We start from the raw sequence: 26,307 nt of genomic DNA on the forward strand, positions 1-26,307 counted from the left end.
TCACTTACTAATTCATGATATCTGTTGTATTTGTATATTCCTTAGGATTTTTCATGTTAAAAAGTTGTGTTCACTACAAATAAAGGTTGTGCAATTGTCATTGTGTATGTTAGTCTCAGACCTTGCATGGAGGCGACCACAGTTACTGTCCTCTGTTCCCATCCTCGACTCTTTAGAGAGTCATCATCTAAATCTGAAATCTTAGAATATAGGGCAGAGGTATTTATCAGAACTCTATCATACATTTCACTTTCAGTTTTTACTTCTTTAATTAAATATTTTTTTAAAGCATTTGCACTTATGCCAGAAAAGTCTGACAGCATTCTGCTTAAGATTACTCTACATTTCTAGATTAAATTTAAGGAGAATTGATATCTTTACAACACTGAGATCAGCACATCAATGGTTGAACGTGGATGAATTCCTACAAGCTTTATTTTGTCCCAATATTATTCTTTAGTAACTTGTAAACCATGATGTTGAGTCTCTGGTGTGGGGAGGTGCTGTACTTACCTGCTCTCTGCCTTGGTTTTTTCACACTGAATAGTTGTATGTGTCAATTTGATTGGGGCACAATGCCCAGATTCTGGTCAGATATTATTCTGGATGTTTCTGTGTGGGTATTTCTGGATGAGACTGGCATTTAAATTAATAAACTTTGAGTAAAGCATATTGACCTTTATAATGTGCCTTCCAAGCAGTTGAAGGCCTGGATAGAACAAAAGACTGACTTGCCCCAATCAAGAGAGAATTCTGCCAGGAGACTGCCTTTGGACTTAAATTACAACACTGGCTCTTCCCTGAGTCTCCAGCCTATAGGCTCTCCCTGCAGATTTTGGATTTGCCAGCCTTCATAACTGTGTGAGTCAGGTTCTTAAAATTAATCTATCTCATATAGATACATAGATACAGATATATATGTATAGGTATACATATCTGCATATATGTGTATATACATATATGTATGCATAACCTATTGGTTTTGTACTGTGAAGAATCCTTATTAATACAAATTCTGAGCAATTTTAGAAATTATAAATAGATGTGGTAGGACAAAATATTACCTGTATTTTTTTTTTTTTTTCGGAGACAGAGTCTTGCTCTGTCGCCCAGGCTGGAGTGCAGTGGAGACATCTCGACTCACCGCAACTTCTGCCTCCCGGGTTCAAGCGATTCTCCTGCCTTAGCCTCAGGAGTAGCTAGGAATCACTTGCATTTTTAATACTGTTTAAATACAGGCATACAGCTTAGTATTAAAGCCAAATAGGCCTGCTAACCAAATCTCAAAAGGTCGTCCATTTAACAATAAATTGAGGGTAATATTGATGTATTCTCACATTGAAATGGAGACCGCTTAGGAATATCAGCATAGAAGGCTTGTTGCCAAAGGACAGTTCTCTACCAAGAAGGGTGGAAATGAGCCAAATGTTGTAAGTTATTTTTCCCAAATTGAACATTTAAATGAAGGGCTGCAAAAAGCTAGAAGGTTCAGTTCCTGAAATCTTTTTTTTTTTTTTTTGAGACGGTGTCTCACTATGTCACCCAGGCTGGAGTGCAGTGGCACCATCTCGGGTCACCGCAACCTCCGCCCTCCGAGTTCAAGCAATTCTCCTGCCTCAGCCTCCCGAGTAGCTGGGATTACAGGCACCCCCCCAACACGCCCATCTAATTTTTTGTATTTTTGGTAGAGATGGGGTTTCACCATCTTGGCCAGGCTGGTCTTGAACTCCTGACCTCATGATCCACCCACCTCCGTCTCCCAAAGTGCTGGGATTACAGGCGTGAGCCACCGCACCCGGCCTGAAAGCATTTTTTTTTTTTCACCAAGCGTTCTGCTCCTAATAGGTCAAAGGTCTCCAATGTTAAGACTTTTTACTTTTTCTTTTCTTCTTTATGCCTGAAGTCACTTCTACTAGAAAATGCCAATAGCCTATTGGAAATCCTCTGGTAAAGTCCTGAGCAATAAAGCCCTTGGAAATAATTCAATATTTACTCATCAAATTTTAAACTCAAGAAGAAAATAAATGGACACAAATTAGAAAAATGAACAAAGGAAACAATGAAGTACTTCACATAAAGAATGTACAAACGGAAAAGAAGATAGCAGCACAAATATTTCTTTGTTAAATGCTAATTATAAAGGGAATCATATTTCACCTATCAAACTGTCAAAGGTAAATATCGGTAATAACTAGTGTTGTTAAGAATTTAGGCAAACATTATTTTAGTCATTGTTGAAATTGATGTAATCTCCTGGAAGTTAATTTTATGATTTCTAGAAACCTTTCTTGAAAATTATCCTTACAAAAAATATTATTATCTTTCAAGCAATTTTATGTTAAAGATTTTTTTTCAATAATTGTCCCCGTCCAAGTGTGTGGGAGGTTAGAGGGTCCTGGTTATCCTCTTTTCCTTGTAATGACCTATTTGTTTCTTCTGTTTTCTATTAGTAAGTCTCAGCTTGGGACTGATCCTGAAATTTGAAGACTACAGTAATTAAACAATATGAACTCTGGACTACATATTTTATGAGATATTAAAATTCGGAGATGGTGCAAATATGTTGTAGTTTCACATTGTGTCTCTTTGTTGGACCTATATTACCACATATTTTTGGTGGTGCTGCTTAAAGTGGTCATTGTTAAACATCCCAAACCTGGCCTACTTCCTGTTTTCTATAGTCCACTAGTTAAGAATGATTTTTACAGATGAATATTTGTAATCAATTTGGTGATGGGGAAACTCTAACTTTCAGCTACACTTTGTTACTCTGTAGAAAAAAAAAATGGATTCTATTATTTTAATTAGTAGACCTTCTTTAATTAAAGACAATGCAATTATTATTGTTAATATTGTTTGAATTTCATAAAAATTATTTGTGGACATACATTTTTCTATCTTGTTATATTAATGCCTACATGATATTCTTGAATTTGCCTCTTTTTCCATAAAGCCTTAGCTATATATTATTTGGCCATTTATGTAAAAGTTTGCTGAATTCTGGCTAAAATATTAAGAAATAACATCAGAGGCTATTTTATTTTTGAGAAAATTATGTTACTTAAGAAAAACCATCCCTATTGGTAATCCAATAAAATTAGCTCTAGTAGATATTGAAACTTGAAACAGTCTCAAAAGATCCCTTAAGATAGCCTCTATAATCATTCTCAACAGCCATGGATATCTGCTAAGTCCTAATCCGTGAAGCCAGAGGATCCACCAGGTGGGTGTATGACAAGCAATCCAATATTTCTTATATTTGCAGTGGTTTTAATCTGGTAAATCAAAGTATGGACATCTGCCCATATGTGAATATTTTCCATAACCTTGAAAAAAATGATCTATGACCTGAGGTTTTTCAAGAACAATTGACTAGCCGTAAATTCTTATGCCACTAATTTTAGACAATATAGTCCTCCTCTTCACTAACACAATAGCCCTAGACTTATTTATATTTGCTGTGTGGTATGCTGCCACATGCCCAAGCAGACACACACACACACACACACACACACACACACACACGTCTTACTTGTAGAACACAAGCAAACAAATGAATACTCTCCAATGGCACATTATAGCTTTTGGAATAAAGTCCAGCAACTCTGCACAACATTAATAGCCATTTTTGATATTCATATTTTCCTTGTCTCCCCAAGTTCTACCTTGCACTCATACCATATTGAAAAAACTAGAGTTACCTTAAACTACATTATCTAGTTTAAATCTCCTCTACTATCTACCTGGCATGATGTGTTCTTACTTCCTTGGCTACTCATCCATCATTCCTCAAGAATCAGAGGTAACTACCTAACCAAAAAACAAAATACAATAAATGCAACTCCCCTGCTTTGGTTAGATTTCAATGCTTCATTCTCTCTGAACTCCACATCCTATGTGTACACTTGTTATTTCTCTCTTCTTTCCCTTGCCTGCCCATTCCCCACCTCTCTTCCTTTCAGTCTCTCTTTTCCAGAATTACATAGGTACAAACTCATGAGAATTATTCACTGTGCCAGATTTACTATTATGTCACGATTCTGTAGTATAGTATTTTTAATATTGCAGGTTTTTGATAAAATGATGAATTAATAAAGAAGTAAATTTTGAGGTTAGCAAAAAAAAAAACAACAACATTGATGTGTCAAATGCAACACCTGGTTCTAATTTTTGTGCCTGTAATTCCTTGTATGACTCTGAAAATGTATTTAAATTTTTAGGCTTTATTGTCTCTTGATATTCATAAGATTTTCTTTGACAAGAACACAGTTAACATGTACTTCCTTTGATTTTTTTTTTTAAGGCAGGGATGATCAAGAAAATGAGAGTCAACAACTTGTTTTCATTGAGTCCCTGGATGTTTCAGAACAACGAGCCTTAGGTGCATTTAAATTCAGTGACAAAGGCATAATTTATAAATCCTCCTGGAGAAATATTCTTAGAAGAATAACTCAACCAGGGGCTAAAGAATAAAAGAGAAAAAATAATATATATTCACTACTTCACTCATTTCACACTTCTCACTTTCATTAGTCACGTAGAATTCACAATCCCACTGATTGATATGAGCCATGATGATCTAAAACCAGCTATTGTGCTGGCAGATTTCACAAACCCAGCATCTCAAATAATATGTTTTTTGTTTTGTTTTGATATGGTTACTACTGCAAAAGAAAAAAGCATGTAGGCATTAATTAAGGTGGATTTTATGAACAGAACATTTTTACCACATGAATGCGAATCTGTGTGGTCTTTGCACCATAGACAAGTGGATTGAGAAATGGAGGGACCAGCAAGTAAATGCTAGAAAAGAGAATATGGATATAAGGGGAGATGTGAGACCCAAACCTATGTGTGAAGAAGGAGAAGAAGGCAAGGAGGTAGAACTGGAGGAAGACACAGATGTGAGCAATGCAGGTATTGAATGCTTTAAACCTAGCCTCCTTCTGGGGCAAACGAAAAACTGTGATAAATATCTGGATGTAGGACAATGTGATGAATGTGAGGTCAAATCCTGCTACAGTGAAGGCCACAAACAAACCATAGATTTTGTTGACTTGAACATTTGCTGCTGCTAGTTTCACAATGGCCATATGCTCACAGTAGGAGTGGGAGATGACTGTTGTGTGATAAAATTGAAACCGGCACTTTATCAGTACTAGGCATGGGGCTACAAGAATAGCAGCCCTGAGTACGACCATAGTTCCTATCTGAATGACAAGCTGGTGGGTGAAGATGTTGGCATGTCTTAGTGGATAACAGATGGCCACATAACGGTCCAGGGCCATGGCCACAAGGATGCCTGACTCTATACCCTGCAATGTGTGGATGAACCACATTTGAAGCAAGCAGGAATCAAAATAGATTTCAGGCACATTAAACCAGAATATTCCAAGCATCTTTGGCATAATGCTGCTAGCAAGTGCAATGTCTGTGGCTCCTAGCATGCCTAAGAAAATGTACAAGGGCTCATGGAGACTGCGCTCAGATTTGATGATGCTCAGAAGCAAGGAATTTCCAATCATAGCAATGAGATAAATGGCACAGAATGGAATCCCAATCCAGCACTGCACAGATTCTAGGCCTGGGATCCCTACTAGTGTCAACACAGAGGGCATGTAGACTGTGATGTTGGAAATGGACATAGTGTCGTTGGGTCTCCTGATGCAAACAAAAGAAGTTTCTCAGTCAGTGTTACTGTTCCTCTTCTGCTTTCTGATTTTCTCCAAACTCATTATATTGAGTCTGTCTGATTTGGGTATAACTCTAAAATCATCCATCTTATTCACAGTTTTGAAAGGAAAAGATGGATTCATGGAGATACATCACTGTTTTCAGGTGGGGCATTCACAGGCACTGTGCCATAATAGGATGTTATGTGCATGGCAATCCAAATACATTAGAACCAGCAAAATCACCTGGACAGGGGATTGGACTACTGGCCAGTCTGTTATTTCTTTCCAGACCTGTGGACAAAAAAAAAAAGAAGTTTATTTTTATTGGACATTGCATTTTAATTTGGTTAATAAACCTCTCCATATTTCACATTTCAGCTATTCCTCTAGTATTTAACTATTTCCAATTTTCTTTAAGAACATTTTAGACAAGCAAATTAACAGACTCTGACCAGTACATTGGTGTAAAAGATTCCCAATGAAAGAGAATAGAGGTAGAAATAATTGACACCCAAGAACATAATATATTTCTTTTTATATTCAGAATAATGTAAAGAGAATGCTTTAGAAATAATTGAAATCTTTATACTTTTGACAAATCTGAGCCAAAGCTCCTGGTTGCTTTTTATATTTCTTTAAAGTTAAAGGGAATTATATTTTTTCCTATATATTTTAAACAGCTGAAACTCTTGAAATGTTGTGAGTTTAAAATTTTAATACACTTTATGGAATATCTAGAGAGAAGGAACTGCTAAGGGACAAGATGAGCAGCAGCAATGCCTACGGCAAGAGAACTTGCTCCTGATAAACCACAGATACTGAATAATGGGCAAATGAATCATTTAGCCAGAATAGAGTCCAGTTTCCTGGTTTTAAAATGTTCAGAGTTATAATTAGCATAATATAGCCCAATAAAGGCTCATTAGTTCTTAATGAAATATAGGTGAGATGCTTATATAATTTTGTGAGCTCTGACATAAGAAATTAGTAAAAATAAAAAAGCTAAAGGACAGATTTCTTAGAAGAAGTCAAATGTAGAACTAGACAGGGAAGACAGGACAAACTTGGGGAGACTAAAATTGAGGAAAGCACTATGAATAACCAAAGAAAATTTAGTCACTTTTCAATTTCACTGATGATTGAATTTTCTGAAAAACCTGGGCTCTTATGCTTTATATAAAAGTTCTCTGATCAAAATAGTTATTTTCTAAAAATTACATATTTTGAATCAGTACATTTTAAGCTATACATTAGAGAAATGTTTGTGATACAGTGAAAAGTAAAGTTACTTCATTCTTTCCTAGACACTTCAATAAAGTTGTTTTATCTCAGTAAGCTCATGAATCAGCTAACCGTATGCTTCATGTCACCAATATGCTGGAAATTCAGGAAGTAGCTGTTCTTTGAAAGAAAAAGCAGCTTTTTTTTTTTTTTTTTTTTTGAAAGAAAAGGAAGGTAAGTAACAAGGAAGAAAGAGAAAAGAGGAAATGGATACAAGTTTACTCAAATATTCAACAACAAATGTTCAACTGCTGCTAAACTTCAAATGAAAGAACCAAATCAGCAGAGGACATTTCATGACAGGGAGGCTGTATCAGCTAACATACATTTACCGTAAACTAGTAGGTCAATTAAATACTTTGATTTCCACAGATTTGATCCCCAATGCTTAGTTTTATGACACTCCCATCCATAAGTCACTGGCTTTTTCTAATAGGGGCAAATTTTTTCTTCTCCAAAGATAATCACAATTAGAATAAGAATCCTTTAATGGCAATCACAATGTCTGACTTATTCAAGACCAAAGAGCTGACATGTGAGTACTACCTGACAGGCACAGATAGCAGGGTTGCAGGTGGTGGTGTATGTAAGTTCCTGGTTAGTTGGATAGAGTGATTGTTATTGGAGAAGCTGGTAATTAAATTATGGAGAGGAAACTTGGAATCGTGAGACTTACTCCTCAATTATTATTGAGAGCTGGTTTTGCTCTTACCAGATACCTGAAGAATATTGTCCATTTTTCATAACACTTTCATTCATCACTCACCAATTTTTCTTCTCCAAGGATTCCAGCTTCATTCCCTTAAGTTGTGGGTTCTGTGATGGCTCTACTTTCTGTCTGCACTCTGTGTAACAGCATCCAGCTAATGTCATAAATTTTACTCTGTTTGGTGCCAGGATATGTGCCAATATAATATACTGTGGACATTTTGCAGATGACTTTTTACACTTTTCATTTATCTCTAACACGGACATCTTCTTCTTCTTCTGGAAGTCTGTCTCAGACCATCTTTGTGTGCTCATCCCCCAGTAAAACTCATAGTGAGGTCTGTAGCATTCTGAAACACGGGATGAATTTATTGAGCTCAAATTGGAGAAAAAAGTGGCTATCCACCAATTTAATATTCCTTTATGAATGTGTGGAGAAGTAGGAGGAGTTATGAGCATGAAATGAGGGATTTCCTAGTTGATAGCCAAAACCACGAGGGACCCAGCAAATTTTAAGTCAGCCCTCTTGGGTTCACTGGCACCTAATATCCCCGTAATTATTTCTACACTTGCAGAAATCTCCTTTCTCTCTTTTTCTCTTTTCCCACAGGCTAAATGCAGAATAATTCATATGCAAAAAATTTTTTTACAAGCTATGTTCCTTTTCTGCCATTTCTATTTGCAAAATTCTAAAGCCCATTTAATGCAAACATGTTTCTATGCCAATTCCTATTTAAATAAATATCTTGGTGACATTTTCACTGAGGCAAGGTTTTTCTCTTTTTATTCAGAAAAGAAAAATCTGTATTCATAACTACTTTTTACCACACAATTACTTCCTCAGTCTTCTTCAGTCTCATTCTTCCCATTTTATTTTATTGAAGTTTTTTTTATCTTTTAGTAAATTAAGTAACATTCTTATAGTGACAAATTATAATGGACATTTCTAAGTCCTACAAATGTAAAGCTGGAAGCAAGTTGTTGAACATTTGAGTAAACTGGTATCCATTTCCTCTTTTCTCTCTTTCTTCCTTGTTACTTTCCTTCCTTCTTTTTCTTTCAAAAAACAGTCATTATATTCCTACTATTTATGAGTGAGATGTTATATATTCTAAATGAAATGAAAAAAATTATAGTCTTACCTTTAAATTATTAGTAAAATGGGATTATGCATTACAATTTCATTTATCACGTAAGTATCTGATAAATTCTAAGCAAGACTTATGCATATGACACTATTCTCCTTGACATTTTACAGCTGGTTTCTAGGCTTTCTTGAATGTAGCTAAGAGACACTTGATATAATGTTTAGACATTGGCAAATTTAGGAAGCATACTAATGGTGGAGAATATTTATAATGGATTTCCAGGAGAACAAGGAATACAGATGAAAAGGCAAGGAACCCCATGTGCTCTTTCCAGAATTTCCTCTGTGAAGGAGCATAAAACAATAGTACTGTTGCATGTTGAATGAAATTGATTCAGAGAGCATATAGGCAGCTAATCTAATATTCAGGTTATTCTTTTGTCACTAAGAAACAATTTAGACTAGTATACCATTTGGTTTCTTCCTCTTCTCTTATACTGATTTTATTTAAATTTGGGGGCTCTCCAAAGTTCTATCTTGGGTCATTTCATTCTAAAACTATTCACATGTGCTGGTGACTCCATCTACTCCAAATAATTTAGTTGTCACCTTCATGTGCTAACTCCTATAACAATATTTCCAGCCCAGATTTTCTCCCTCTGTTCCAAGTACACAGGAACAGCATGTACTGCCCAAATTTTAGTTTATCCCTCACATCCTTTGAAACATTGTCAATGAGTTCTACACTTAATTCAAGGTTATTTTTTTTTCATTGTACTTGTAAATATTGGAAGACTTTTACATATGCATCAATAACTATCTCTGGATTTTTTTAGCTAGTCTACTAAATTTTTTTTTTCTTTTTTTTGAGACAGAGTCTCTCTCTGTCGCCCAGGCTGGAGTGCAGTGGCCCCTGATCTCTGCTCACTGCAAGCTCCGCCCCCCGCGTTCACGCCATTCTCCCGCCTCAGCCTCCATAGTAGCTGGGACTACAGGCACCCGCCACCAAGCCCGGCTAATTTTTTGTATTTTTTTAGTAGAGACGGGGTTTCACTGTGTTAGCCAGGATGGTCTCGATCTCGCGACCTCGTGATCCACCCGCCTCCGCCTCCCAAAGTGCTGGGATCACAGGCGTGAGCCACTGCACCCGGCCTACTGAATATTTTTTAAATTTATTTTTATTAAGGTAAAATATACATACGTAATTTACCGTCTTTACTTTTTTTTTTTCCTTGAGACGGAGTCTCGCTCCGTCATCCAGGCTGGAGTGCAGTGGTAGGATCTTGGCTCACTGCAACCTCCGCCCCCACCAGGTTCAAGCGATTCTCCTGCCCAAGCCTCCCAAGTAGGTGGGATTACAGGCGCCTGCCACCACGCCTGGCTAATTTTTTGTATTTTTAGTAGAGACAGGGTTTCACCATGTTGGTCAGGCTGGTCTTGGACTCCTGACCTCATGATCCACCTGCCTTGGCCTCCCAAAGTGCTGAGATTACAGGCATTGGCCACCGCACCCAGCCCATCTTTACCATTTTTGAGTGTACGGTTCAGTGGTAATACATACATACATATATATACAAATTTATATGTATACATACATATTCACATTTTTATATATATATACACATACATACATATGCACACATACACACAGAGGGAGAGAGAGAGAGTGGGAGGGTTTTTTTGCTTGATTTCTCATTCCTTTCTTCCCTCCCGCCGCCGGTAACTACCAATCTACTCTCTGTCTTCATAAGATCCACGTTTTTAACTTCCACACGAGTTAGAACATGTGATATTTTTCTTTCTGTGCTTGGCTTATTTCACTTAACGTAATTGCTTTCAGTACCATTTATGTTACTGTAATTGATAATATTTCATTCTTTTTTATGGTTGAATAATATTCCATTGTGTGTGTGTGTGTGTGTGTGTGTGTGTATTATTTTCTTTATCCATTTATCTGTTGACGAATACATCAGTTGATTTCAAATCTTGGCGTTTGTGAATAGTGCTATAATAAAGATGGGAGTACTGATATATCTTCGACATACTAATTTATTCTTTTAAGGGTATATACCTAGGAGTGATATTGCTGGATCATATGGTAGTTCTACTTTACATTTTTGACAAATCTCCATACTGTCCTTCATAATTGCTGTACCAATTTGTACTCCCACCAACAGTGTAAGAGGGTTTCCCTTTGTCCACATCCACACAAGCATCTGTTATTTCCTTTTGTTTTGTTATAAGCTATTTTAACTAAGGTGAGATGATATCACATTGTGGTTTTGATTTATCTGGTGATTAGTGATATTGAACATTTTTTCAAATACCTCTGGGCCATTTGTATGGCTTCTTTTGAGAAATATCTATTCAGGTCTTTTGGCCATTATTTATTTATTTATTTATTTTCTGTTGAGTTGCTTGAGTTTCTTGCATATTCTGGTTATCAATTCCTTGTAAAATATATAGTTTGCAAATATTTTCTCCCATTCTTTGGGTTGTCTCTTCACTTTATTATTTTCTTTGCTGTGCAGAGCTTCAAACAATCCCAATTGTCTATTTTTGTTTTGGTTATTTGTGCTTTTGAAGTCTCATAGACAGTATTTGCCCAAATCAATGAATGCCCTGGAGGGTTTCCCCACTGTTTTCTTCCAGTAGTTTCATAATTTCAGGTATTGGATTCAAGTCTTTAATCCATCTTGATTTGATTTTTGTATATAGTGAGAGATAGGGGTCCGATTTTACTCTTTTGCAAATGGATATCCAGTTTTCCTAGCACTGTTTCTTGAAAAGACTGTTTGTACCTTTTTTTTTTTTTTTTTTGAGATGGAGTCTCACTGTTGCCCAGGCTGGAGTGCAGTGGCAGCACAATCTTGGATCACTGCAACTTCTGCCTCCCAGGTTCAAGCGATTCTCCTGCCTCAGCCTCCTGAGTATCTGGGATTACAGGAGCGCCCCACCATGCCTGGCTAATTTTTGTATTTTTAGTAGAGACGGAGTGTCACCACGTTGGTCAGGCTGGTCTTGAACTCCTGACCTCGTGATCCCCCCACCTCAGCCTCACAAAGTGCTGGGATTACAGGTGTGAGCCACTGCACCTGGCCCATTTGTTCCTATTTTTATGTTCTTGATGCCTTTGTTAAAGATGACTTGGTTGTTAAGTGCCTGGATTTGCATCTGGGTTCTCTATGCTGTTCCATTGGGCTGTATGTCTGTCTTTATGCAGTACTGTGCTGTTTGGCTACTGTAGCTTTGTAGTAGATTTTGAAGTCATATAGTGTGATAGCTTTGGTTTTGTTCTTTTTGCTCAGGATTGCTTTAGCTATTGGGGATCTTTTGTGGTTCCATATAAATATTAGGATTGTTTTTCTATTTCTGTGAATGCCATTGGTATTTTGACAGAAATTGCACTGAATCTGTACATTGCTTTGGGTAGTATTGTCATTTTAATATTAATTCTTCTAGTTCATGAGCATGGAATATCGTTCCATTTTATTTGTGTGCCCTCTTCTATTTCTTTCACCAGAGTTTTATAATTTTTCTTATAGAGATCTTTTACTTCTTGGGTTAGATTGACTCCTGGGTATTTTATATTTTTATTGCTATTGTAAATAAGATTGTTTTATTGATTTTTTTTGCAGATTGATAACTTTTTATATATGAAATGCTACTGATTTTGTATTTTTATTTCATATCCTGTAACTTTATTGATTTTTTTAAATCGTTTTAATAGTATTTAGTGAAGTTTTTAGGTTTTTTCTAAGTATAAGATCATGTCATCTACAAACTAGGCTAATTTAACTTCTTCCTTTCCAATTTGGATGCACTTTCTTTCTCTTCCTGAATTTCTCTTTCCAAGACTTCCAATATTATGTTAAATAATGGCAATGAAAGTGAGCATTCTTGCCTTATTTCAGTCCTTAGAGGAAAGGCCTTCAATGTTTCTCTGTTCAGCATAATGTTAGCACTTGGTTTGTCCTATATGGTTTTTATTATTTTGAGGTATGTTCCTACTGTACCTCCTTTGAGGTGCATTTGTTGTTGTGTCCTGGTCTGGTTTGGGTATATTAGAGTAATGCTTGCCTCATAGAATAAGTTTAGAAGTAGGCCCTTCTTTTCAGTTTTTATTTGTTTGTTTGTTTGAGGAATTTGAGTACGATTAGTATTAGTTCTACTTGAAATGTTTGGTAGCCCATCGAGTCCTGGGCTTTTCTTTAATAGGAAACTTTATATTACAACTTTAATCTTGTTATTCATTATTGTTCTATTGAGGTTTTCTGTTTCTACATGCTTCAGTCTTGCTAGGCTGTATGTGTCCAGGAATTTATCCATTTATTCTAGATTTTCCAATTTGTTGGAATACAGTTGTTCATAATAGTATCTAATGAGTCTTTGTGTTGCTGAGGTCTCAATTGTTATATCCTCTTTTTCATTTTCTAATTTTATTTGACTCTTTTTTCTTAAAGTTTTGTTGATTTTGTTTACCTTTCCAAGAAAGCAACTGTTTGTTTTTAATGATTTTCTGTATTTTTTGGTCTCAATTTCATTTGTTTCTTCTCTGATCTTTCTTATTTCTCCCCTTCTATTAATTTTGCATTTGGTTTGTTCTTGCTTTCCTATTTCCTTGAGGTACATTGTTTGGTTGCTTAGTTGAAGCCTTTCTACTTTTTTGGATATAGGTGTTTATTGCTATGAACTTCCCTCTAAGTACTGCTTTTGCCATATCCTGTAGGTTTTGGTATGTTGTATTTCCATTTTCACTTGTTTCAAGAAGTTTTAAAATTTCCTTCTTAATTTCTTTAGTGACTCATTGGTTATTCAGTTTCATGCGCATCCCTGTGAGGAGACTACCAAACAGGCTTTGTGTGAGCAATAAAGCTTTTTATCACCTGGGTGCAGGCGGGCTGAGTCCGAAAAGAGAGTCAGCAAAGGGAGATAGGAGTGGGGCTGTTTTATAAGATTTGGGTAGGTAAAGGAAAATTACAGTCAAAGGGGGGTTGTTCTCTGGCGGGCAGGAGTGGGGGGTCACAAGGTGCTCAGTAGGGGAGCTTTTGAGCCAGGATGAGCCAGGAGAAGGACTTTCACAAGACAATGTCATCAGTTAAGGCAGGAACAGGCCATTTTCACTTCTTTTGTGGTGGAATGTCATCAGTTAAGGCAGGAACTGGCCATCTGTATGTGTACCTGCAGGTCACAGGGGACATGATGGCTTAGCTTGGGCTCAGAGGCCTGACATTCCTGTCTTCTTATATTAATAAGAAAAATAAAACATAATAGTGTTGAAGTGTTGGGGCAGCGAAAATTTTGGGGGATGGTATGGAGAGATAATGGGCGATATTTCTCAGGGCTGCTTCGAGCGGGATTAGGGGCGGCGTGGGAACCTAGAGTGGGAGAGATTAAGCTGAAGGAAGATTTTGTGGTAAGGGGTGATATTGTGGGGTTGTTAGAAGAAACATTTGTCATGTAGAATTATTGGTGATGGCCTGGATACGGTTTTGTATGGATTGAAAAACCAAATGGAATAAGAGAAGGAGAAAAACAGGTATTAAAGGACTAAGAAGTGGGAGGACCTAGGACATCTGATTAAAGAGTGCCTAAGGAGATTCAACATAGTCCTGCCAGCAAAGATTATTTATTTACTTCAAGAGTTAAGAGTGGCAGTTTGGGGATAGCACCAGGAGATATCAGCTGTGATGGCTTGGAAAAACAGTGTAAACCGGCAGTGTAAACAAGAGCAGGGCATGTATGAGTAGTTGAGAATGGTGAATAGGAGTATGACTAGACAGAAGATAGCAGGGATGACAAGTTTTTTTGGGGCACATTCTAAGTTGGTCTGGTGTCTGGAATTAGACTGGGGCCTAATAAAAAGGCAAATCTATACAGGAGCTCAAATGGGCTGTACCCTGTAGCATTCTGAGGACAGGTCTGACTTCTGAGAAAGAAAAGTGGTAAAAGTATTGTCCAGTCCTTTTTAAGTTGGTGGCTGAGCTTGGTGAGGTGTGTTTTTAAAAGACATTTAGTCCGTTCTACTTTTCCTGAAGACGGAGGACCGTAAGGGATATAAAGGTTTTACTGAATACTAAGAGCCTGAAAAACTGCTTGGCTGATTTGACTAATAAAGGCTGGTCTGTTATCAGACTGTATAGAGGTAGGAAGGCTAAACTGAGGAATTATGTCTGACAGAAGGGAAGAAATGACTGCGGTGGCCTTCTCAGACCCTGTAGGAAAGACCTCTACTTATCCAGTGAAAGTGTCTACCTAGACTAAGAGGTATTTTAGTTATCTGACTCAGGGCATGTTGAGTAAATCTAATTTGCCAGTCCTGGGTGGGGGCAAATCCTCGAGCTTGATGTGTAGGGAAGGGAGGGGGCCTGAATAATCCCTGAGGAGTAGCAGAATAGCAGATGGAACACTGAGAAGTTATTTCTTTGAGGATAGATTTCTACGATGGAAAGGAAATGAGAGGTTCGAAGAGGCAGGCTAGTGGTTTGTACTATAGCATAGCCTGCCTTTGCTGGTGTGTGGCTATTAGGCCTGGTGGAACGGCCATCAATAAATCAAGTGTGATCAGGGTGAGGAACAGGAAAGAAGGAAAGAAGGAAATATGGGGAAATGGGGTGAATGTCAGGTGGATCAGAGAGATACAATCATGGGGGTCAGGTGTGGTATCAGGAATAATGTGGGAGGCCGGATTGAAGTCCGGGCCAGGACCAATGGTAATTGTGGGACTTAACAAAGAGTGAGTACAGCTGAAGGAGCCGGGGATCAGAAAGTATATGCATCAGGTATGAGGAAGAAAATAGATTTTAGAAGTTATGAGAAATGTGAAGAGTGAGCTAAGCATAGTTTGTGATTTTTAGGGCCTCTAAAAGTATTAAAGCAGCGGCAGCCACTGCATGCAGACCTGAGGGCTAGGCTAAAACAGTAAGGTCAAGTTATTTGGACAGAAAGGCTACAGGGTGCAGTCCTGGATCTTGTGTAAGAATTCTGACCGCACTAACTATGCCTAGGAAGGAAAGGAGTTGTTGTTTTGTAGAAGGGATTGAGGTTTGGGAGATTAATCGGACACAATCAGCAGGGAGAGCACGTGTGTTTTTATGAGAATTATGCCGAGATAGGTAACACATGAGGATGAAATTTGGGCTTGACTGAAGTAATGGGGTCTGTCTGTGAAGCCTTGCAGCAGTACAGCCCAGGTAATTTGCTGAGCCTAATGGGTGTCAGTGTCAGTCCAAGTGAAAGCGAAGAGAGGCTGGAATGAAGGGTGCAAAGGAATAGTAAAGAAAGCATGTTTGAGATCCAGAACAGAATAATGGGTTATAGATGGAGGTATTGAGGATAGGAGAGTATATGGGTTTGGCACCATGGGGTGGATAGGCAAAACAATTTGGTTGATAAGATGCAGATTCTGAACTAACCTGTAAGGCTTGTCTGGTTTTAGGACAGGTAAAATGGGGGAATGGTAAGGAGAGTTTATAGGCTTTAAAAGGCCATGCTGTAACAGGCAAGTAATAACAGGCTTTAATCCTTTCAAAGCATGCTGTGGGATGGGATACTGGCATTGAGCGGGGTAAGAGTGATTAGGTTTTAATGGGATGGTAAGGGGCGCATGATCGGTCGCGAAGGAGGAAGTAGAGGTGTCTTATACTTGTGGATTAAGGTGGGGAGATACAAGGGGAGGATGTGAAGGAGGCTTTGAACTGGGGGAAAACATGGCAATGAGGTATGGCTGTAGCCCAGGAATAGTCAGGGAAGCAGATAATTTAGTTAAAGTGTCTCGGCCTAATAAGGGAACTGGCAGGTGGGGATAATGAAAAAGGAGTGCTTAAAAGAGTATCGTCTCGGTTAGCACCAGAGTTGGGGAATTTTAAGAGGTTTAGAAGCCTGGCCATCAATACCTACAACAGTTATGGAGGCAAGGGAAACAGGCCTTTGAAAAGAAGGTAATGTGGAGTGGGTAGCCTCCATACTGATTAAGAAGGGTACAGACTTACCCTCCACTGTGAGAATTACCTAAAGCTCGGTGTCTGTGATGGTCTACAGGGCTTCCGAGGCGATCAGGCAGTGGCAGTCTTCAGCTGCAAAGCCGAGAAGATCTGGGAAGGAGTCAGTCAGGGAGCCTTGGGCCAGAGTTCCAGGGGCTCTAGGAGTGGCTGCCAGGTGAGTTGAACAGTCCGATTTCTAGTGGGGTCCTGCACAGATGGGACACGGCTTAGGAGGAATCCTGGGCTGCGGGCATTCCTTGGCCTGGTGGCCAGATTTCTGGCACTTGTAGCAAGCTCCTGGGGGAGGTGGTTCCGGAGGAACGCCTGGCCACTGCGGTTTAGGCATTTGGAAGTTCTTGTGTGCTGGAGATGTGGCTGGGGTTTGTCTCACAGTGGAGGCAAGGAATTGCAACTCAAAAATATGTTGCTACTTGGCTGCCTCTACTCTATTATTGTACACCTTGAAGGTGAGGTTAATTGAGTCCTGTTGTGGGGTTTGAGGTCCAGAATTTAATTTTTGGAGTTTTATTTAATGTCAGGAGCAGATTGGGTAATAAAATGTATATTGAGAATAAAGTGGCCTTTTGTCCTTTTAGGGTCTAGGGCTGTAAAGCGTCTCAGGGTTGCTGCCGAACGAGCCATGAACTGGGCTGGGTTTTTCATATTTGATGAAAGAGCCTAAACGCTCTGATTCGGGAGAGGTCGGATAAAGAAAAAGGAGCATTAACCTTGACTACGCCTTTAGCTTCAGCCACCTTCTTAATAGGAAATTGCTGGGCAGGTTGGGGAGGGCTAGTCACGGAATGAAACTGTAAACCGGACCGGGTGTGAGGAGGGGAGGTGATAAAAAGATTACAGGGTGGAGGAGCTGAGGCTGAGGAAGATTTGGGACCTAGCTCGGCCTGGCAAGGAGCAGCCTGGGGAGGAGGGGAGACGTCAGATGGGTCTGTAGAAAAGGAAGATTAGAAAGACTCAGCGACGCTTGGAGTTGGGACTGAGGGGACAGGCGGGAGGGAAAGAAGGAAGATTTGGGACAAGTTGCATTGGGAAGAGACTAGGGAGGGACCAATGTGTAAAAGAATGCCTGGACGTCAGGCACCTCAGACTGTTTGCCTGTTTTACGACAAAAATTATTTAGATCTTGAAGAATGGAAAAATTGAAAGTGCCATTTTCTGGCTATTTGGAACCACTGTCGAGTTTGTATTGGAGTCAAGCGGCCTTGCAGAAGAAAATAAGGCATTTAGGTTTTAGGTCAGGTGTGAGTTGAAGAGGTTTTAAGTTCTTGAGAGCACAGGCTAAGGGAGAGGGAGGAATGGAGGGTGGAAGGTTGCCCCTAGTGAAGGAGGCAAGCCCAGAGAAAAGAAAGAGTACAGACACGGAGGGAAGGGGTTCGGGGGTTCTTACTCACCAGAAAAATGGGCAAGGGGTTGGGGCACGGAAATAAGGGGTTGGGGTGCAGAGATAAGAGGTCAGGGCACAGAAATAAGGGGTTGGGGTGCAGAGATAAGAGGTTGGGGCACAGAAATAAGGGATCGGGGTGCAGAGATAAGAGGTTGGGGTGCAGAAATAAGGGATCAGGGTGCAGAGATAAGAGGTCGGGGTGCAGAAATAAGGGATTGGGGTGCAGAGATAAGAGGATGGGGCGTGGAAATAAGGGATGGGGTGCTGAGATAAGAGGTTGGGGCACAGAAATAAGGGATTGGGGTTCTTGCCCCCAGAAAAGCAGTGAAGGGGCAGAGACATGGAGAGAAGGGGTTGGGGTACTTACCCCCCTCCAGAAAAGTGGGATTTGCCGCTAAGGGTGAAGGACCAAGGCAGGCATCCCTGCGTGGTCTGACACCTCTGAAACATGGTTTAATAATCAGAGAGGTGTCCCTGCAATGATTAAACACCAAGGGAAGGCTGCCTTCCCAGTCCGTGACTGGCACCGGAGTTTTGGGTCCACGGATAAAACATGTCTCCTTTGTCTCTACTGGAAAATGAAAGGAATTGAAATTAAGAGAAGGGAGAAATTGAAGTGTGGTGCCAAGATTGAAAGGAGAAAGAAGTTGAGGGATAGTGAGGGAGGTTGGAGAAGACAGTAAAAAGAGGCCACTTACCGGATTTGAAATTGGTGAAATGTTTCTTGGGCTGGTCAGTTTGAGGACCTGAGGTCGTAGGTGGATCTTTCTCACGGAGCAAAGAGCAGGAGGACAGGGGATTGATCTCCCAAGGGAGGTCCCCCAATCTGAGTCACGGCACCAAATTTCATGCGCGTCCATATGAAGAGACTACCAAACAGGCTTTGTGTAAGCAACAAGGCTGTTTATTTCACCTGGGTGCAGGCAGGCTGAGTCCAAAAAGAGAGTCAGCAAAGGGAGATAGGAGTGGGGCTGTTTTATAAGATTTGGGTAGGTAAAGGAAAATTACAGTCAAAGGGGGGTTGTTCTCTGGCGGGCAGGAGTGGGGGTCACAAGGTGCTCAGTAGGGGAGCTTTTGAGCCAGGATGAGCCAGGAGAAGGAATTTCACAAGACAATGTCATCAGTTAAGGCAGGAACAGGCCATTTTCACTTCTTTTGTGGTGGAATGTCATCAGTTAAGGCAGAAACTGGCCATCTGTATGTGTATATGCAGGTCACAGGGGACATGATGGCTTAGCTTGGGCTCAGAGGCCTGACATTCAGGAGCATACTGTTTGATTTCCATATGTTTCTATATTTTCTGATGATCTTCTTGTTATTCATTTCTAGTTTTATTCCACTGTGGTCAGAAAATATACTTGATAAAATTTCTACTTCTGAAAAATTTGTACAAACTTACCTTGTGGCCTAACATATGGCCTTATTTAGGAAAATGTTGTACATGCTGCTTTAAAGAAATGTATCTTCTTCAGCAGTTGGGGGACAAGTTCTGTTAATGTCAGTTGGGTCTATTAGATATAGTGGGTACATTAACTGTGTTGTTCATTTGTTGATTTTTAGTCTGGCCGATCTGTTCATTACTGAGACTGAAGTGTTTAAAGTTCCCTACTATTATTGTATTGCAGTCTGTCTCGCCCTTTAGGACTATTAATGTTTTCCTTATATACTTGGGAACTTTGATGTTGGATACATCAATATTTATAATTGTATCCTCTTGCTGAATTGACCCCTTTATTATTATACAGTGACCCTCCTTATCTTTTCTTACAGTTTTTAAATTTGTAGTCTATTTTATCTGATTTAAGTACAATTACTACTGCTCTTTCTGGTTTCCAGTTCATGGAATTTTTTTCCAACCCTTCACTTTCATTTATGTGTGCCTTTATAGGTGAAGTGGGTTTCTTGAAGATCGCATAAAGTTGGATATTGTTTCTTTATCCATTTACCATTCTATTACTTTTAATTGGGGAACTGAGACTATTTACACTCAGTGTAGTTACTAAGTAAGGATTTCCTTTTTTTTTTTTTTTTTTTTTTTTTGCTTATTTTTGGCTGTATGGAGACTCCTCTCTTCCTTTTTTTTCCTTCATGGTTATGTGATTATCTCTGGTAGCATATTTTAATTTGTTACTTTTTATTTTTAGTAAATCTATTATAGATTTTTGTGCTGTGGTTACCATGGGGCTTACAAGAAACATCTTATAAATATAGCAAGTTATTTTAAAGGATGACGAATTATCTTAGATCGCAAATAAAGGAATATAAACAAGGGCAAAAACAGGCAAAAAAATTCTACACTTTAACTCCACTCCACCCCCACATTTTGACTTTTGTCTCATTTTACATATTTTATATTACCTACATCTTAAAAGGTTGCTATAGCTATTACTGTTTTTGAAAGATTTGTTTTTTGGGTTTCATACTGGAGTTCTGTGTGGATTGCACACCAAAAAATACAGTAATGGGGTATTCTAGGTTTGTCTATGTACTTAATTTTACCAGTGGGTTTCATACTTTGAAAAGTTTTCTTTTGCATGTTAATGTCTTTTTTCTTTCAGATTGCATAACTCCCTTTAGCATTTTTTGCAAGATGGTCTGGTGTTGGTGAATTCTCTCAACTTTTGTTTGTCTGGGAAAGACTTTATATATTGCTTATATTTGAATAACAGTTTTACCCTATAAAATATTCTTGAATATCAGTTTTCTTTTATCCCTGAGCGCTTTGAAAATTTCATTCGACTCTCTCTTGGACTGTGTGATTTCTATTGAGATGTTTGTTGTCACAGGATTTGGAGCTCCTTTATATGCTATTTGTTTCTCATCTCTTCTGCTTTTAGGATCATCTTTTTGTCCTTGACCTGATGTCTTGGCGTAGTACTCTACTATATCTAGGACTACACTTAGAATGAATAATATGTAATAAAACATAGTAAGTGAAGTGAAGTTGCTGGCTTAAAAAGTATTTATTTATTGTAAGCATAAGAAAATTTGACCGATGTAATCTTAGATGATAGTTCTAAAAGTGTTGGTTGAGGAAGTAGAAGAGAATCAGTACCTAAGCAGTTAAACTAATGTGGGAAGGCCCCTTTTATAAAGATCCTCTTGAGAAAACCTTTATACATTATTAATATATGACTATAATTAGAGGAAACAGAGGTGAGTGAATTTTGTCCTCATGAATCTCAAAGGAGAAAATGGTTTACAGAATTGCTTGGTGTTCTTCAGATTCCAATTTTAAAGTCAAATCTGAATTTTAAGTTATGGGACCACTGATAATATGGTGGGCTAAAGAATCAGGTTTTTAGTTGGATTGTCTGGTTTTGAGTTGTGATTCTGCCACTTATTAACTCTTTGACTTGGGGCATGATGACTTGACTTCTCTATGTTTCTGTTTCTACATTTGTAACATGTAGACAAACTGATAATTTCTTCATATATTTGTTCCGTGGATTAAATGAACTAATCTATATAAATCACTTAGTATGGTACACTATAGCTCGTGACAGAGAAATTTGTGACTTTAATTTTTATGTACTTGAGTTTAAAATTAGCATTTAGAGAGACTGTCAGGAATTGTGAAATTTGACTGTGTATTCACGTATTGTAGTCAGATTTGGTGAAAAAGTAATTACTTAATAAAATATAATTACTTATTGAGCAAATTTTACTAGGAACTTTGCTAATTGCTTAATGTGCACCATTTCATTTAATCTTCAAGATCATAAAAGCTGGATTTTATTTTCTTATTCATTTATAAATGAATAAATTATATTCAAACAGGTCATACTACTAGCAAGATCCCACAATTACTAATAGCAAGATAGCTAAGATTTCAACCTAGGTACATCTGGTTCAAGTGTATAACATCACACTGAGGACTTGGCTCTTGGGTGTACAAGTTTTCCATTGTGTGAACTTGATAAAGTTACAAAAATTATCTCTTAGTTTTTTCATGTATACCATAAGAATAGTAATACAGGACTGTAATGGAGGTTACCAATAATTATTGTTAAGGAAGGGCTTCTAAATTACTCTGAAATTTTGAGAATTTTTTTTTAAATCCCATGTTGTTTTTATGACTTCACTACATTGAACACTTTCAAAGGTGTTTCATACATTAAAAATTTTTTAAGTCCATAAATTAATTTCGAGGAAAACAGAAAAAAATATAAATTTTGCCACTCATTACTTGATACATATTTTTATTTGACCAAACCTTCTATTAGTTACTTGGTTGGCTGATAATCACTCAAGACTGTGTGGTTTAATAGGATATTCACTGTGGTTCATGGAAATTCAAAATTATCTGAAGAAAACAAAAAGTTGGGCTCTGCAATCCCTGTCTGAGGGATTTTCTAGAATTCTTCTGGTCCTCCCTACCTTTTTGTTTGTCAGAAGCTTGTCTACTACCGAGTGATTGATGTCACCAAAGACTATTGCAGGAGTAGGCCTTGCTTTTTCTGTTTTTTAGTTATTTTCTTCTAAAACAGTATTTTCAAGTAGTTGTGGTTTTTTTTCTTTCTAGTATTGAACTCATTAAAAATAAAATAGCTTTCTAAAGCCAAACAGTTTCCTCCTGACCAGTTAAAAGTTATCTCTGCTTCATGGTGCATATTCAATTAAGATTTAACATTAGCACACTGAGTATAATTTTTTTAAGAATCTTTTTATTACAGAAATTGTAAACTACACAAAGTAAACAGAATATTATAATTAATTTCCAGGCACCCATGACACAACTTCAACAATTATCAACATTACACCATTCTTGTATTTTCCACACTTGTATTCACTATGAAATCTAATCATCTGTATTATTATTACTATTTTCCTTTTTGTTATTATTATCATTCAGAAGTTTTGATGTAAAATTGATGTACCTAGAAATGTGCAAATCTTAGCTGTACCGTTTTGACAAATTGACAAAACAATGTCACCACATCCCTAACACAACAAAATATTTCCATCTCCCCAGAAATTGCCTCATGTCTCTCCCCATTCTTCCATCTTTATATCCATCAGAGGTAAGCAGGGTTCTGATTTTTTGACATTAAATTAGATGTACATGTTCTGAAACTATACAAACAAAATAATACAATATGTACTCTTTTGTGTCCTGATTATTTTCCTTCACAAGTATGTATCACTAATTTTAATATAACCAGAAACTTAAACCTCCCCAAGACTCTTTCTACATATTCCCAGAACCAAATGTCACTGAATTGAGTATTCAAGGATTCAGCACACAAAGTGTGTCATCACCAGGACAAAGCCTGTGTTCTATGCCTCCTCCCACAATTTTATTTCAGAGTAATGCCATTTCCTATTCTCAGGGAAATATATAAAACTGTTTTTTTTCTTCATCTACAAAATGTTAAAGCTCATTAACAAGCAATAATAAGCCATGGAATTTTTCATATTTGCAAAGCTAATATTCAGGTAATAAAGCCTGATCTAAGTGCCTGTGCTGTCAGGGTATCTTCAGTCTCCATTAGAACTCACCCCTCTTCCTGGATAGTGTAAGAACAACGCTGTTGCGAATTTCTTTGATTTTGATACTATAGACAATGGGGTTGACCACAGGAGGAAAAAAGAGGTAAGCATTGGCCGTGACAGTCTGGAAAAGTGGAGGTAAATGCCGTCCAAAGCGGTGCATCAGGGAGAGGCTGATCATGGGCACATAGTACACAAGCACAGCACATATGTGCGACACACATGTGTTGAGTGCCTGCCACCGCCCTGCTCCAGAAGCTATTTCCAGTACTGTATGAAGAATCAGCACATAAGAAACCACAATGAACAATAAGTCCAGTCCAAATGTGAAGGTAATGACAAATAGAGCCAGGATGCTATTGGGACGTGTGTCTCCACAGGGCAATTTGATCAGATCTGAGTGGAGGCAATAAGAGTGTGTGAGGGTATTGTGGCCACAGAAAGGCAGACGCCTCAGGAGAAAGAGCAGTGGGAGCATAAGCATTACACTGCGCAAGGCAATGGCGGCACCCGTCCCAGAAATGCAGGCAATTGTCAGAATGGTTGTGTAGCGCAGTGGGCTGTAGATGGCCACAAAGCGGTCCACTGACATTGCCAGAAGGACACCTGACTCCATAAGAGTGAAAGAGTGCATAGAAAACATCTGGAGCAGGCAACCACCAAAACTGACATCGTTAATGCCAAAGAGGAATATGCTTAACACAGTGGGCATGGTGGAAGCAGAGACACCAAGTTCAACAAAGGCCGGCATGGCCAGAAAATAGTACATGGGTTGGTGCAAGGAAGAGTCAATTCGGATGATGTGAAGAATGATGCCATTTCCCGGAAAGATGATGGTGTATATCAGGCAGAAGGGGATGGATATCCACATAATGTTCTGCCTCCAGTCCCGGGATGCCAACGAGAGTGAATGTTGTAGGTGTGAATGTTATGGAACGTTTGAAAACGTCATGGTGATACTTCCTCTGAAGATATTGAGAAGCACATGGAGACTGGAATATATAAGTTTCTACTCAGTTATTGCACATCAAGTTCTGAGCTAACAGTCATATCTAAGACATTTCCTCAGAAAAAGGGATAAAAAATTTATTTCTGAAACAAGGGCACAGGTAAGCCACAGTGAGTGGAAGAGAAACCTAATGGGTCATGCAGAAAAGTATTCCAACATAGCCTATATGCCAGATAAGGCATTAATAGAAATCTCAAGTTGGGTCATCTATGGCAGTGAAAAACAGTTAAAATAAGCATAGAGATGACAGATTCACATGGAAATTATGACTGAAGAAACTGCTAACTTGTAGTGTTTATAAAGAGAGTAGATGAATAGCTAAAGTAATATAACACTAATAAAGAGTATTGATGGTTCTAACATTTAATTGACGTGTAATCTTGGGATTATATTAAAGTTGATTTATATTGCAAGTTATCTGAGACCCAGATATTTGCTATAAAGACAATAATAGTATTTTAAAGTAATATTTATATATTGTTTATCATTATATGTGGAATATAGTAAATATTAAATGTATAGAATAAAAAGAACAATTTAATATATTAGAACACAAGGATAGTTTCTCCTAGAATAAAGTATTTTCCATTTTTTTCTTTAACTTACCAGTTCACTCTTTCTCCACCTGCTATCCATAGATTAGAAAAGCTCCTCTGTATTTTGCAGAAGGGTCAGTCTTCTGCTGGAACCGGGTCAGGGAGCAAGATCAGAAGCATCAGTATCTCACAAGTCACATGTGATGGTGGGGCTAGGGTACAGGCTTAGAGATATTTATCTGGGAACAAGTTTATTAACACTAAAGTTCCACTTATCTGCAGCAGAGCCTTAGGTATTAACGTTGGAGGCCAGAAATGGAATTCAGGATGGGGCTCAGAAATAAGAATGTGACCAAGGCTGAACTCTTCTTCCCGTGTTGGGCCAGGGCTCTTCGTTAGGCATAATCAGTGGGATAGTAATAAATATTTCCAAATAAAAATGCCCTGATTTTTACCAGTTACCGATTTTTTGTGTTTTAATGACTCCTACCATGATCAATTTCAGACTACCAAAGAGATGCTATTAAATGCAGAGCTGAGATGAGCATAATCAGCTTTCCTAAGCTGGTGCAAGCCAGCACATTATACCATTAGGCATAACTATAGTTGATCCTAGACCTCAGATACTTACCTAGGTGGAACTGAGAGCTACCACATCAATCCATGCATACTATTTGTTACTGTTTACTTTCAACTGGGCTGTGGACATAGTTACTACCTCCCTGTATATGTGCTTAGTTGACTGGAGGACATAGAGACAGAATGATTCAGTATCCCTCAAGAAGCAATTAACCAAGAATAATTATTCCCAGAAACTTCGGGTGTATTAGAGAGAAAGGGGGGAATAGTTCCTGAGAAGCATGCTGGAGAGAGTATACATAAGAACATGCCAATGTCAATGCAAAACCCAAATAAACATAAAATAGTTACACAATATCATTAATTATAATTTAAATATAAGACATTGGTTTATATTTCTTATATACTTCCCCCGCATCTTATCTTCATTAATTTTTTCATACACAATCATTTACAAAACTTTTATGTAGTCAGGTTAACATACATTTTATTAATATTATATACTTTTCATTCTTAAGAAGCTATTCCATATACAAAGTAAAAAGTGGAGAGATG

General features: G+C 38.2%; 1 protein-coding gene and 1 pseudogene across 1 annotated transcript, besides 10 other annotated features; both read right to left on the reverse strand.

Annotated features, from left to right (window-relative positions):
• Positions 1 to 99: 99 nt before the first annotated feature.
• On the reverse strand, positions 100 to 8,033 carry OR52A1 (olfactory receptor family 52 subfamily A member 1). The gene is made up of 2 exons (NM_012375.3): positions 7,723 to 8,033; positions 100 to 5,966 (listed from the first exon to the last, which is right to left on the reverse strand). The coding sequence occupies exon 2, from the start codon at positions 5,643 to 5,645 to the stop codon at positions 4,707 to 4,709; it is 939 nt and encodes a 312-aa protein (NP_036507.2). The 5' UTR covers positions 5,646 to 5,966; positions 7,723 to 8,033; the 3' UTR covers positions 100 to 4,706.
• Positions 430 to 12,297: an enhancer, noted in NCBI's record as "12 kb BglII-HindIII HPFH-2 fragment in transgenes". NCBI's record gives its function as "enables persistent expression of the gamma-globin genes, preferably the Agamma gene, when juxtaposed downstream of those genes in adult erythroid cells of transgenic mice" and the evidence as "EXISTENCE:transgenic organism evidence [ECO:0001131][PMID:9121456]".
• Positions 430 to 13,742: a biological region, named in NCBI's record as "hereditary persistence of fetal hemoglobin-1 and -2 3' breakpoint enhancers". NCBI's record gives its function as "regulatory_interactions: HBG1 | HBG2".
• Positions 4,542 to 5,588: an enhancer, noted in NCBI's record as "1 kb BamHI-EcoRI HPFH-3D fragment in pgammaCAT constructs". NCBI's record gives its function as "activates the Ggamma-globin promoter in transfected K562 erythroleukemia cells" and the evidence as "EXISTENCE:reporter gene assay evidence [ECO:0000049][PMID:2478223]".
• Positions 5,143 to 5,588: a DNaseI hypersensitive site, noted in NCBI's record as "erythroid hypersensitive site 1.1-1.4 kb downstream of the HPFH-1 deletion 3' breakpoint (minus strand with respect to the GRCh38 reference genome); overlaps the HPFH-3D enhancer fragment and the OR52A1 olfactory receptor gene; the nucleotide coordinates are approximate for this feature". NCBI's record gives the evidence for it as "EXISTENCE:in vivo cleavage assay evidence [ECO:0001075][PMID:1690839]".
• Positions 6,497 to 6,498: a chromosome breakpoint, noted in NCBI's record as "HPFH-1 deletion 3' breakpoint (minus strand with respect to the GRCh38 reference genome); the deletion removes approximately 105 kb of DNA and inserts 5 nts (AAATA) at this position". NCBI's record gives the evidence for it as "EXISTENCE:nucleotide sequencing assay evidence [ECO:0000219][PMID:2478223]".
• Positions 6,797 to 7,196: a DNaseI hypersensitive site, noted in NCBI's record as "non-erythroid-specific hypersensitive site 0.5 kb upstream of the HPFH-1 deletion 3' breakpoint (minus strand with respect to the GRCh38 reference genome); the nucleotide coordinates are approximate for this feature". NCBI's record gives the evidence for it as "EXISTENCE:in vivo cleavage assay evidence [ECO:0001075][PMID:1690839]".
• Positions 9,120 to 9,833: an enhancer, noted in NCBI's record as "0.7 kb ScaI-NruI HPFH-2 fragment in plasmid or retroviral constructs and transgenes". NCBI's record gives its function as "enables persistent expression of the gamma-globin genes in adult erythroid cells" and the evidence as "EXISTENCE:transcriptional activation assay [ECO:0000170][PMID:15944728, PMID:21875313]" and "EXISTENCE:transgenic organism evidence [ECO:0001131][PMID:12855570]".
• Positions 12,452 to 12,453: a chromosome breakpoint, noted in NCBI's record as "HPFH-2 deletion 3' breakpoint (minus strand with respect to the GRCh38 reference genome); the deletion removes approximately 105 kb of DNA". NCBI's record gives the evidence for it as "EXISTENCE:nucleotide sequencing assay evidence [ECO:0000219][PMID:2307466]".
• Positions 13,143 to 13,742: a DNaseI hypersensitive site, noted in NCBI's record as "fetal liver-derived erythroid hypersensitive site 1 kb upstream of the HPFH-2 deletion 3' breakpoint (minus strand with respect to the GRCh38 reference genome); the nucleotide coordinates are approximate for this feature". NCBI's record gives the evidence for it as "EXISTENCE:in vivo cleavage assay evidence [ECO:0001075][PMID:1690839]".
• OR51A1P (olfactory receptor family 51 subfamily A member 1 pseudogene) lies at positions 23,333 to 24,599 on the reverse strand (annotated as a pseudogene).
• Positions 24,021 to 25,497: an enhancer, noted in NCBI's record as "1.5 kb EcoRI-BglII fragment in the LCR-Agamma-HPFH-6 transgene". NCBI's record gives its function as "enables persistent expression of the Agamma-globin gene when juxtaposed with it in adult blood of transgenic mice" and the evidence as "COORDINATES:manual assertion [ECO:0000218][PMID:9272169]" and "EXISTENCE:transgenic organism evidence[ECO:0001131][PMID:12855570]".

The sequence above is a fragment of the Homo sapiens genome, chromosome 11 (assembly GCF_000001405.40).
Source record: "Homo sapiens chromosome 11, GRCh38.p14 Primary Assembly".
Lineage (NCBI taxonomy): Eukaryota > Metazoa > Chordata > Mammalia > Primates > Hominidae > Homo > Homo sapiens.

Excerpts from the sequence above, each read along its gene's own strand:
- OR52A1 (NM_012375.3), bottom strand. The coding sequence starts at position 5,645 with ATGTCCATTTCCAACATCACAGTCTACATGCCCTCTGTGTTGACACTA.